At 35.8% G+C, this 12,745-nt stretch overlaps 1 annotated feature.

Annotated features, from left to right (window-relative positions):
- Window positions 3,870-4,370: an enhancer, noted in NCBI's record as "H3K4me1 hESC enhancer chr14:82717858-82718358 (GRCh37/hg19 assembly coordinates)". NCBI's record gives its function as "activates a minimal SCP1, AML or CMV promoter by ChIP-STARR-seq in naive H9 embryonic stem cells {active_cell/tissue: H9 hESC(naive)}" and the evidence as "EXISTENCE:reporter gene assay evidence [ECO:0000049][PMID:30033119]".

Genomic DNA, 12,745 nt, shown 5'->3' with positions numbered 1-12,745 from the left:
ATTTTTAATTATACAATAAATATTCCAAAGCATGTTTGTTGAGACAGAAATCCAAGGAATAGAAAAATCCTTAAAACATTCCTCTCTACCCACTCCCTAGTCCTCCAATCCTAACATTCTCCCCAAAGGTAAACACATTGATGAGCCTAGAGTGTTTTCTTTCAGACAACTGCTGGCATATTTACAAATATACAATGTATATACAAATATTTAGGAGGATTTTCATAGAATTATGCATATTTTTCTATTACTTTATCTTTAAAATTATGTACTACGTATCTTTCCATCTCTCTCTTTGTCTTAAAACTTTTATATAGTAATTCCACAGCATCATAACTCACTTAGTCATTCCTCTATTGACAGGCATTTTTTAGATACTTTCGATATTTTCCATTATACAAAAAATTCTATGTAGTGTCCTTTATATTTATCTTTATACATGTACACATTTTTTTCCTTGCAGGGCAAACTGCTAGGAGTATTTAAGTCGAAGAGTATGCACATTTCATTTTCTTTAAAAAATAAGAATTTCTCAAATTTCTCTTCGAAATCATAGCAGCAGTTTACTGAAAGAACCTGTCCTCTCAAGTACTTTTGCACATTAAATATCATCAGTGATTTAAATTTTCAAAGATCATGAGTAAAAATTGGTATATTATTGGAATTTAAATTTGTATTACATACTTATTAATGAGGTTTAGTATCTTTTCAAATGTTCATTGGCAATTTGCATTTTATTTTCTGAAAATTGACTGCTTTATATACCACAGATTTTTCGACTAAATTATTTGTATTGCTTTATTAATTGAGAGGAATCTTAGTATATTTGTCTATTTGTTTCAATTATTGTATTCATTCTGTCATAGCTTAAGTTAAAGATATTTCCTTTTATTTTTTGCCTGCCTGCTATTTTTTTAAAATCAGTACTGTATATTGTATTTCCTATAATAGTTTTTCTATATCCATTAAGTTAATCATCTGGATTTTCTTAGTCAGCTACGATTAACCCAATCTTTCTTTCCTAAGATAAACCCACCTATTACAATTCTTACCGCTGAATAAAACGTTATGCAAAAAAACAACAACCATTTTATTATCCTCATGAATTCTGTGGGCTGAAGGTCTGGGAAGAACTTGGCAGAGCAACAAAATTTCTTTGCTCCTTGTAACATCAACTGAGGTCACTCAGTGGTACTCAGCCAGCAGATGGGCCAGGCAAGAGGTTTCAAAAAGGATTCCCTCCGTGTCTGATGTCCGGAGGGATGGCAAGAAGATTAAACTTAGTTGGGACTGTTGGCTGTTGTCTTTCACATGGCCTCTCCATCATGATAGTCTCAAATAAATCATGAGGTTCCTCTCCAATTGTTTTGATTGCTCAGCTGCACTTCATTTTCTATTTATGTTCCCTTGACTTTCCAATGTAGAAGACAGACATATTCCTGAAAGTGTTGCTTTTAAGCTAAAAAATTAGAATTATATTTCTTTTAATATATTGAAAAGGAAGGTATTCAGAAAGATGGAGGGAGTCTTTCTTTCTCCACATACATAAATAAACATATAAATGAATGAATAGAAAACAGAGAGAGCTTGACTTAAGATTGTTTTCTTTATTACCATGATGTCTCAATAATGCTAATAATACATCATGGCAATCAACAGAGCATTAGAGAAAGAGCACTGGTCTTGGCATTAGAAAATCCAGGTTGCAGCCCATCTCCGCCATTATTAGTTTTGGATCTTTCCAAACTATTCCAGCTATTGTTGAATCTTTCCAACAATTTTCCAAACATCATGCATTTCATGTTCACTATTTTAAAAAATTGACAGAATAGCTTATCCCCCAGATCGGTTGTGGGAATCAAATGAGTTCTTTAGTATAAATGTGCCTCATAAATTTTTGTGTAGGCCAGGTGCAGTGGCTCACGCCTATAATCCCAGCACTTCGGGAGGCCGAGGTGGGTGGATCACCTGAGGTCAGGAGTTCAAGACCAGCCTGGCCAACATGGCAAAACCCCGTCTCTACTAAAAATACAAAAATTAGACAGGTATGGTGGTGGGCGCCTGTAATCCTAGCTACTCAGGAGGCTGAGGCAGGAGAATTGCTTGAACCCGGGAGGCAGAGGTTGCAGTGTAGCGAGATCACACCACTGCACTCTAGCTTGGGCAACAGAGCAAGACTCCATCTCAAAAAAATAAAAACAAAAAAAAAATTGTGTAATTATAAAGTATCTTTATGATTTTTATTTCATTTTGATTTAAAAATGAGAAAGACCTTACAGAATCTATGTCAGTTAAGATTACCTTTTGTACACGTACAACAGAAAATCCAACTATCAAGGGCTTTAAAAGAATGGATTTTCTCATCCTCACATGCCATTAGCCAATGAGTAGGCAGTTGCTAGTGTTGCTTCCGCAGCTGTGTGATGCCATTTGTGTCTCAAAATATTTCTCTGTGCCCTGCTACTGTCCACAGGCTGGCTTGCAGTTTTATGTTTGTGAGGGAAAGCTGCAAACAACTGTTACAGCTCCAAAAATCACATAATTGCTCAAGGCAGGAGAACAAGGGAAAAGGCCATCTTTAACCCTTCTAACAGAAATGCAGAAGCCTTCCTAATGACTTCTCTGCAGATACTGGATTAGGACTCTCACTGATCACAACAGAGGCACGTGTCCTTCTCTAGATGCGTCTGCTGGGAAAGTGACCAATTCAAACACCATCCAGTGCCTGCTCCATTCTAACTGAGATTCAAATGGAGATTCTATTAGCAAGCTGAAGGGGAAGTGGGAATTGCGGAAGCAACTGTGTCTACCACAAGACTTTTAAGGTGAGGCAATATCTCTCTCTCTTCAGGCCCTTACCCACTCTTACAACAAAACCACCCCATTCATAAATAATAATAATAATAATAACAATAACTAGGATAAATATCTAGCTTCAGCCCAGACAACTCTTTTCAGCTCACCCCTTTTTATTAGGACCATTTGCTAAACCTGAATATTATTTAGGATCTTCAAATTTTTAATCAACTGGTCTTCAAGTACCAAATTTACTGCTTTATAGCATAAATGCACTCCCTGGATCTTTTGTGGGAAGAGGTTGTAATGTAATATATAGGTGAGATGTAGAATACAATCCATAATGTAAAAATTATGACAACCATAAATACTGTTGCCATCGTGTAACATTTCTGAAAAATTATTTCTCAGGATAACACTAATGTAAATTGTATTATATGTAGGAACATGGAAAGCTTTACAGGTGCTACAAGGGGCCTTAAGGCCTTCCCTACATCCTACCTCCACCCACTTTCATAACTTAATATGACTCAGATGGGCCACATCATCTTTTTGAGCACTTATTCCAACCTAGGTATTGAGCCAATTATGCTACCATTTTGTCTTTCACAACCTCATGGTAAAATACACATGAAAAAATACACAATTATTCCAATTATATTAGGAAGGAAAAGACTTCAAAAAGTAAAGTCATATAGTAAATTCAGTTAAAATTCAAATAATTTTATTATTAAAAGTTATAAAGCCAAGAATTCCTACCCACACCTTCCTGAATCCAAATGTTATTTCCTTGCGACTGTTAACAAAGTTATTAAGAAATTATTTTAGACAGATAGAGAGGAAAAGGGGCCCTTGGGAAGTTTCTGTTTGTTTCTTTCTTTCTTTTTTTTTTTTTTTTTTTTTTTTAACAGTCTCGCCCTGTTGCCCAGGCTGGAGTGCAGTGGCACAATCTCCGCTCACTGCAAGCTCTGCCTATCCGGTTCACACCATTCTCCTGCCTCAGCCGCCGAGCTGGGACTACAGGCGCCCGCCACCACGCCAGGCGAATTTTTTGTATTTTCAGTAGAGACGGGGTTTCACCATGTTAGCCAGGATGGTCTCGATCTCCTGACCTTGTGATCCGCCCGCCTCGGCCTCCCAAAGTGCTGGGATTACAGGCGTGAGCCACTGCGCCTGGCCGGAAGTTTTTGTTTCTTTTAAAGCAGCTCCAGAAACGTTTCTTGTGTAGCAGAAAGCCCTAGCTCTTAGAGTTGGGCCAGCAAGCTTTGATATGCAAATACGGGCCCTTAGAAACTGGGTCTACCCAAACACGGAGATTCCAGCTGTCTTCTTCCTTGCCCATGTGCCTGGAAACATAGCCTCCCCCCGTATATCTTCACGTGTGTAGAACATCATGGCTTCCTGTATTTGCATATCAAAAAGCTAGGGTGGGAGGGCCAGTTTTTCATGGGCTACGTGAATGACATACCTGGTCAAACCAATCGCCTGAGCCCTATGCAAATCAGACACCACCTCCTCATAACTGGCTGATTTCCGTGGCACTCAGGGTTTCCTCTCTTGGCTTTAGAGACCCCTCCCTCTGTCTCTGTATGGGGGAGCTTCTTCCTTCCTTGTCGCCTATTAAACTCTCCTCTACTTAAAACCACTCCACATTCGTCTGTGTTCTTTTATCCAATTCGGGACGAGACTAAGGATCCTGGCAGTCATCAGAGCCGTATCACCACTACGCAGTCATACAAGGGAGAATATAAGTACAATATATAGTTTCATTTTCTATGCTTTTTACCTTAATATTCTCTTAAATACCCCAAAAGCTTTCTATTTACCAAAATGCCATTTTACCTAGTCAACTGCCTGCAAAGAAGTTAAAATGACTTCTTAAGGAAAAATGGAAAAATTATGTTAACACTTATAACTATCAATACTTACTTACCAAGACTGGTATTATTATCTACAGAATTTGTATCACACAAACCAAAGATAATAATTAGAACACTGAAGAATGTTCTGATACTACTAGCGATTTTATGAAACTTTAAGAAATGTTCTCAAGCCTCAATAGCCATCCTTATGTTGTGAAAATTTTGTTTTGTAGGTGAGTTGACTATTTTATCTAAGTAGTCAATAGCTAGATTTCTAAAAGCCAGTATAAAATCCCAAAGATTGAATACCTCCAAAACAGCTACAACTTCATCTGGCAAATTCTTGTTGCCAGTAGTCACAAAGTGCTGAATGGTAACAATACATTTTCAAACATGACAAGGACAACAAAATCCATTAATTTTTTTTTTTAAGCAAGAGTAAGTAAAACTTGTTTCAGATGTGATTCAAAGGTAACTTCTATCTCTCATGTGGAAGGTGAAAAAGCTTATTCGATGCAAAAATCTGAGACAGGCAGTACAAGAATATACAAGGCCATGCCTTGTCTTTTACTAGCCAAGTCTAGCTCACCCCACTCTTTGAAGGTGGCAGGATGGATGCAGAACTGTAGTGTCGAGTGGAGTGGATGAGATGTATCTGTGAGACCGTTATACACTAAGGGACACTCTGAAGTGGGAGACTGTGAAGGAAAGAAGCAATCCGGAGATGGAGGTAATTAAAAAATAATGCTGCTTTTCACTGAAAACCACCGGGAGAAATAAAATGTTTTAAGAGCTTCCACTTTTTAACTAAGGTGATGTTTGCAAACTAAAGAACTGTTAAAATATTTACATCTTTAAGTGCTTGTGTACAGATTCTCTCCTTTTGACATTATCCCCAGAGAAGACAAGAATATGCTGAAAGCATTACTAATATAGTTGATTTTAATTTCCAAAAGCAACCCATGAAGACAACTTCTGAAGAAGAGTGACATGGGGTGAGATAATCAAAAGTCATCCCTCCTTTGCCTGAACTGCATGAAAGAGACTTTATGTGGCCCTTGAGCTAGAAAGATTTCTTTGCTACTGTTTATTCCATCAGTGTCACCAGACAGCAGTATCTCATAAATAAAGCTGATTTACCATGTTTGGTACTGAAAAATTATTTGGTTATGTTAGGCTCAAATTAAATAGCAAATGTATATTGCTTCTTAAAAATGAGCTTAAGATGATGATCTCATTGTTCATGAATCCATGTGGCCAATATTTTTATTAGTAGCTGTTTTATAATATGATATTTATAATATATTTATAATAAATATTAATATTTATTTTCTATCAATATATCAAGGGTGTGAATTATATTTATTGATATAATTTATTTTACTTTTATAGCCATATTCTTAAAGGAAAGATATCAAATTTCCTTCTTAATAAAAAGAAGTTAGAAAGCCAGAATTCTGTTTTACTTTTCTAGAAAATTGATTCCGTGTCCATGATTGAGACAAAGCAACTCTGTCTGTAGAATGACAGGCTCAGAAAATCAAATTTGGTTTCTGTCATTTTCTCAGACAGAGCAGACCTCATGCTGACCCTTTTGCACATTAAATCTTAGTCTTTGGGTTTAAGCTGCCTGTAGAAAGTACAAGGATTTCAAGCTTTGCCACTGTTCTGCCTTACATAATATATTCAGAAAAAGACAGCACAGAAATCGTGGTTTTGTATTTACTAACATCATGTAGGTACCACTGGGATGTCATCAATTAATGTCATATTTCATAGGCATCAGCAAAGCAAGGTCCCAAATTCTGCCTCATAAATGACCCTCTCGTTCCTCTTCTTCTTCAGACATTTGCTAGTGACCTTTATACCTGATGAGCTTCCAACAAGTAACCGTGTGTCAAAAAAGCCTAAAGATAAACTTTGTATTCATCATCAACTTCCTTCTGTCTCGAGTAAATACACTAAAAAAAGCCATGAAACCAATATTGTCTAAGCTTTGACTTTTCTGACATTGGCATTGTAGAAGCCAAAGGAAAATGTTTACTTCCCCTTGTAAAGATTCAATGAAAAACTCAACTGATAAAAGGAGATTAACAGGAGAAATGGAATACAAATTTATTAACGTGTATGTAGGGAGAACCACAGTGTAATTATCCCTAATGCTCCAATGGGATTCAGAAGATTATACACCATCTTTAGGTCACTGAAGAAATGGGAATTTGGTCTGTGGCAAAACAAAACATGCTATTGGAGAGGAAGGCCTGGCTGGCAAAGGTGACAGTTGTATTATGTATATGAAATTTTACAGGTAATCTTTCAGAGAGTATAGATGGTTAGTATTTCCTAAGACCCTTAAAAGGTATCAGACTCTGCATTAGTCCATTATCAGGCTGCTATAAAGACATACCTTAGACTGGGTAATTTATAAAGAAAAGATGTTCAATCAGCTCACAGTTCTGTGGGCTGTACAGGAAGCATGATACTGTCATCTTCTAGGCTTCTCATGAGGCCTCAGGAAACTTACAATCATGGTGGAAGGTAAAGGGGAAGCACACATGGTTTTCTTATGACTGGAAGGAGGTGGAGGAGGTAGATGCTACACACTTTTAAACAAGCATATCTTGGGAGAATTCTATTATAAGAACAGCAAAAGGGAAATCTGCACCTGTGATTCCATCACATCCCACCATGCCCCTCCTCCAACACTGAGAATTATAATTCAACAGGAGATTTGGGTGGAGACACAGAGCCAAACCATATCAGACTCTCAGTTAACCTTTCCTAGATCTTTTGAAGGGAAGGCGTCAGAGAAAACCTGGCTGCCTCAGTGCAGATTTTCTCTACAGATGCAAATCTCCCCCATGAAAGGTAAGTGTTGCAGGGCTATTTCTATTTGCAGGTCCTATGAAGAGTCATCTCAACATATGATGAAGAAATATATTTTAGGGTGAAATACTTTGATTTTCTTCAGCATCCAAATTGCATTTTGACATTTTCTTTCTCTTGCAGTTTTTATACTTATCTTAAATTTTCTGCAGTGAGAGCTCCCTTATTTTCCAGCAATCTTTTTTGTATTTGCTTTCTACTTTTGTTTCTCCTGTGGAACTACTCCTTACAAATCCCCAAATTCTGAACTATTTCCTTTCTTATGATTATTTCCTAATTCAAATGATATCACAACTGATAAATTTTGCCATTCATTTAAAACTGTGGGTTTGTAACATAATAAAATTAAAAATTTACATCACAAAATTCTCTGTTGGGCAAGGTGTGGTGGTGTGTGCCTATAGTCCCAAGCTACCTGGGAGGCTGCAGGAGAATCGCTTGAGCCCAGGAATTTGAGGCTGCAGTGAGCTATGATTGTACCACTACACTTCAGCATGGGCCACAGAGTGAGATTCTGTCTCTAAAGTAATAATAATAATAATAATGGAATCTCTGTTGGATAATTTTTGTGTCAGTAATCTCAGCTCTACCATTTGTATGTGGACAGCTTCAAGTATCTATATTCAGGTTATCCAGTGTAGGAAAACAAAGCATTATTTAGAGCACTCCTTTCTTGGTTATCTGATAGTAGTTTTTCACAGCCTTGAAGCTATTTCACAATTCTATAAACTGTAGATAACTGATAAAAGTGCAAAGTAATACTTGTCTATACAAACGTGAAGACACTCTATCTGGTGGAAATTCAGTTGACCATCCTTTTTTTTTTCCATTGTGGAAAAAGCCAGTTTTCTTCCATTTCTAAATGTATTTCAGCATGGTTTTACTTCATATACACGTCTGCTTCTTTAACTTTTTTGAACTGATTGTAACTGTTTCTGGTTTCTTCATTCATAATTAGTTAAATAAAATCTCCAATATGTGTCCATTTTATATTTGTATGAGAATTGAGATTTTTACCCTTTTGTTTTTTAATGTTCTTTTAACACTAGGCTTTACAGTCCAAACAACACTGTAGAATTTGACACCACAGACAATGGAGAGATGTGGAGTATGTCCATTTAACAGTTAACGCGTTTGGTCTATGTATGTGAAAATGACAGAAAACCTTTTTAAAATTTGTATGTAATTTATAAATTTCTCAGAAATGCTGCCAATTAAATAAGTTAAATAAAAAACATTGAAACATTAAAACAATGAAAACGAAGTATTTAATTGCCTCCCATTTTCTTTTCTTTTTATATTTATTGACCTGCAAGAATTTAAGAAAAAAAAAGATTAAGGAAAATGGCAAAAGAACAATTTCTTCTGACTGTATTTAGAAAGAAATGCTAGATACAGGAATTTTACAGAATCTGTAGCTTTTCAAGGTGGAGTCTTACATTTGATTCTTCTCTCCCCTTGCTGTGTCTAGGCTGAATGTGATGAACAGAGATTCCATCCTGGGATCCTGGGCACCACAGCATATGGAAGGTGAGTTGACAGAGGATAGAGTCTCCAGTCACGAACAGTGAGAGTTTAGATTCTGGCTCCACGATTTATTAAACATGTGAACCTGGTCAAGTCATGTAACTCCTCTGAGCTTCAGGTAGCTCATGTATGAATCTATGATACTGATAATAATAACATGCTTTACAGGTTTGTCTGAGCTTTAAATAAGAAAATATTTCTAAAGCATCAAGAACTCGGTCTGTTGTGTGGTAGTGAGTCAATAAACACTATTATCACCATTCCTTATTTGATGTGCTACCAAAGAGCTGTTTTACTTTTTACCTAAATGCCAACATTGTCAACTAGATTCAAGAATTACCTAATGTAAAGAACATCTCATTATGTGCCTACAAGAAGGAAGATCTACCTTATAAACATAAAACCAAGAAATAAGGCATCTAAGACAAAGACATATATAAAATTATTTAAAATATTCTGTTTCACAAGCATAGTATCAGTTGATTAAATAAATTGACCATTTTGGTAAACTTCTATATCAACTACTCTTACAATTAAAGAGATCTTACCTAAACAGTAGACTTTACATGTGTTAATTCAGAAATCAGCCTAAATATAACTTTCACCTCCTAAATATTTTATTATAAAGTAATATATGGTCTCCACTGAACTTAATCTCCATTGCACTTAAATGTATGTGTTTCTGTGTGTGTATATATACATGTATATGTGGTTTATGTGTGTGCACACGTACATGCATATATGCATATATGTGTGTATATGTCTATATGTACATACATATGTGTGTATATGCATGTACGTGTGCACAAATGTACATACATATATGTACATGTGCACAAACACACACACTACCATTGGAAGCAAAATATCTACCTATTTGGATTATTAGAAAATGCAAATAATAGTTTACTGTCACAGAAAAATCCCAAAGTCTAATTAACTGCATGATGTGGAGTCAGTAATGAACCCACTCTATTTTAGTCTATTACCTCAATGGCAGTAAGAATTGTAGATGGTCAATTTCTTTTATACAATCATGTAGTAAAGGCAAATGAGACAAAGTATGAAAAATATCTAAGATCAATTTGGAGGACAGTATGCTCTACAAATCCAAGCTGGTACTGCTCTGAAAAACACAAATTTAAGCAATTCAGATGTGGTAACTAGATTGCTGATGCAAAGATGGCTCTACTTTCCCACCTGTTCATTCTACCTACACACTTTCCAGGTGCTGCTGTATAATCTTTCTCTCAACCAAGCAATTACACCACGTGAATTGTGTGGTTAGTCAGCTAACCATCTGCTTTCTAGGAACAATCATGTACTGTGTTCACAATTTTCTTGATTCAAGCCACAAGGAAGATGCAGAAATCTGAGGTGTAATATTTGAGACATTCTTTGTTTTTTAAAAAATAAGCCATATGATTAAGAAGATTTTAAACTGCCTTCCTTTATGTGCATGTATAGTTTTTGCTGGCAGTTGAAAACATGTGTAGGGAGGCAAGGAGAGTCGAGATAATGGTCACTTAATATGTAAATATAAATAGACACATATTGCTATTTTTTTCTTGACTGTACTTTCCCCCAACACCCCAAACTATGAACAGGCTGTAAATGTATGCCTCCAGACACGCAGACAAAAGCAGCAATCTTAATTAGCCAAATTAAAACAGTAAGACACATCCGATTATCCCTTTTTAGTTTAAACCAGCTCCTAAAATGACAACTGATGTGAAAATAATTAAAGCAAGACAGACTGGAAAAAGAGGAGAATAATGTATTTAGATTTTGAGGAGAAGTAATTAGCTTTGGCAGGTTATTTATTTATGTAAATTGAAAAATTAGCTCTACTAGGCAGAGGCGATACATTCAAGTGTCTGCATTTCTGGCACGACATGGAAGAAGAAAAAAGTTATAATGAAAAGCAACAAGATGAATTTCAAGCAAGAAAAGACTCCTTAAATTGTTACTTTTTTAAAGGAAGACAGATTCTCAGAGAATAAAATTCATAAAATCTGTCTCAGTAGTTCAGCACTACTGTGTATGAAAAAAATCTTACTAATTTCCTGAGATTGCTTTTCCTCAATACAGATACAGATTTTCTTGATTTGAACAGCTGTCTTGGCTTTTCTCAGTCTATGTTACATTCATAAGTTATTCTTCCTTCAAATTGTCATTTTATACAGCTCTACTTCATTAAAACTGCTTCATTTTCAGTAGAAATCTAGACTAGTCCTTCTCACTTTGTCCTGAACTTTTTATATGCCATCTAGGCACACACCCTTTGCCTAGTTTCACCTACACAATGAATTCAAACATCTCCGATAAATTGAAAACTTTTAGATCTGTGAATCTAGCACTGTCATCCATACTTAAATATATAGCCACTTACACTGTACTTAAATATACAGCTTTTCAGGCATGCTTTAATTTTTCCATCTTGCCTGCAGAAACTATTTGTTCATTGCTTTCTACGTAAGAGGAACCATGCTATGATTAGGCATTTGAGCGCTAGGTATAGAAGAATACTTCTAGAGTTTAAGTATTGCACAAGTTTATCCTCTAGAAGTAATAAACACAGAAAATAAATGCAAGTGTTTTGATAGAAGAATGTACAGAGTATAACGGAGATACAAAGAAGGGCATGGTATATTCTAGTGTTTGGAGTGTGGATTTGGAGGAAGGATGGTTGCTATGAAAAGATTTCTTTATAAACAGCTTATCCTCTATTCTCCCAACGTCCAAATAACATGTTTTCCTTAATTTAAAAAAAAAACTATTTTAGATAAATGAAAGTACTGTAAATACTGTTGCCTGCTTTAATTAACCATGTTAGTGAGATGTGGCTATTACACACACACACACACACACACACACACACAAACACACACACACAGACACATTCACAGCACACAGTATACAAATAAAGTGCGAGGCTGCGTTACATAGTACTGGTAAAGTAACTAGAAACTAGTAATTAAAGCCAAACCGCTCCTTAGCCAGACAAATCTTTAGTTAATGTGATGATTTTCAATCTTCATATCTAAAATATACTCAGAAGTTTTAATGTATACAATGTTATTGACAGTCCTTGTTATCCTGTAATTTATGTGTGCAAACTGGCATGTCCATTTGTAGTCCCAGCAGAATTCAAGAAAGCTACTGATTTCAAATTTTTATTAAATATTAACTTCAGCAATCTCACATTCTTCTATGAGTTCCTTCTGTGCAATGAGACATGCTTGAAGAAAAGGAATTAAGGTAGAAAGAAATAGCTGTGATCTGAAGCTTAAGGAGAAATATACTATGTATTTACCAGTGTCTCCTCTTTCTCTTTACAAAAGAGGACTACATTTCTCAGTGTCCCTGGATCTGAATTGTCAGCATATGACTGCAATTTCACAATAAGAATATAAGCAAAAAAGGCAGTTAAGAATTGGTATGCATTCTTCTTGGTATCCCTCTCACATCTGTTCAACTGAAAGGAAAGATCTTCAGCACGGTGGACAGAAACGGCTCAGACCTTGAACCATAATTTGAGAACAGCCAAGGAGTACCCCCTAGTACCACATATGCGTGAGAAATAAACAATTTTTTAGGTTAAGCCACAGAGATTTTGAGATTTATTTGTAATCACAGCATAGATTAGTTTATCCTGACAAACACAATAAGAA

This window comes from Homo sapiens, chromosome 14, assembly GCF_000001405.40.
Source record: "Homo sapiens chromosome 14, GRCh38.p14 Primary Assembly".
Classification (NCBI taxonomy): domain Eukaryota; kingdom Metazoa; phylum Chordata; class Mammalia; order Primates; family Hominidae; genus Homo; species Homo sapiens.
The sequence above is the reverse complement of the archived record's forward strand: the minus strand, read 5'-3'. Positions and strand labels throughout refer to the sequence as shown.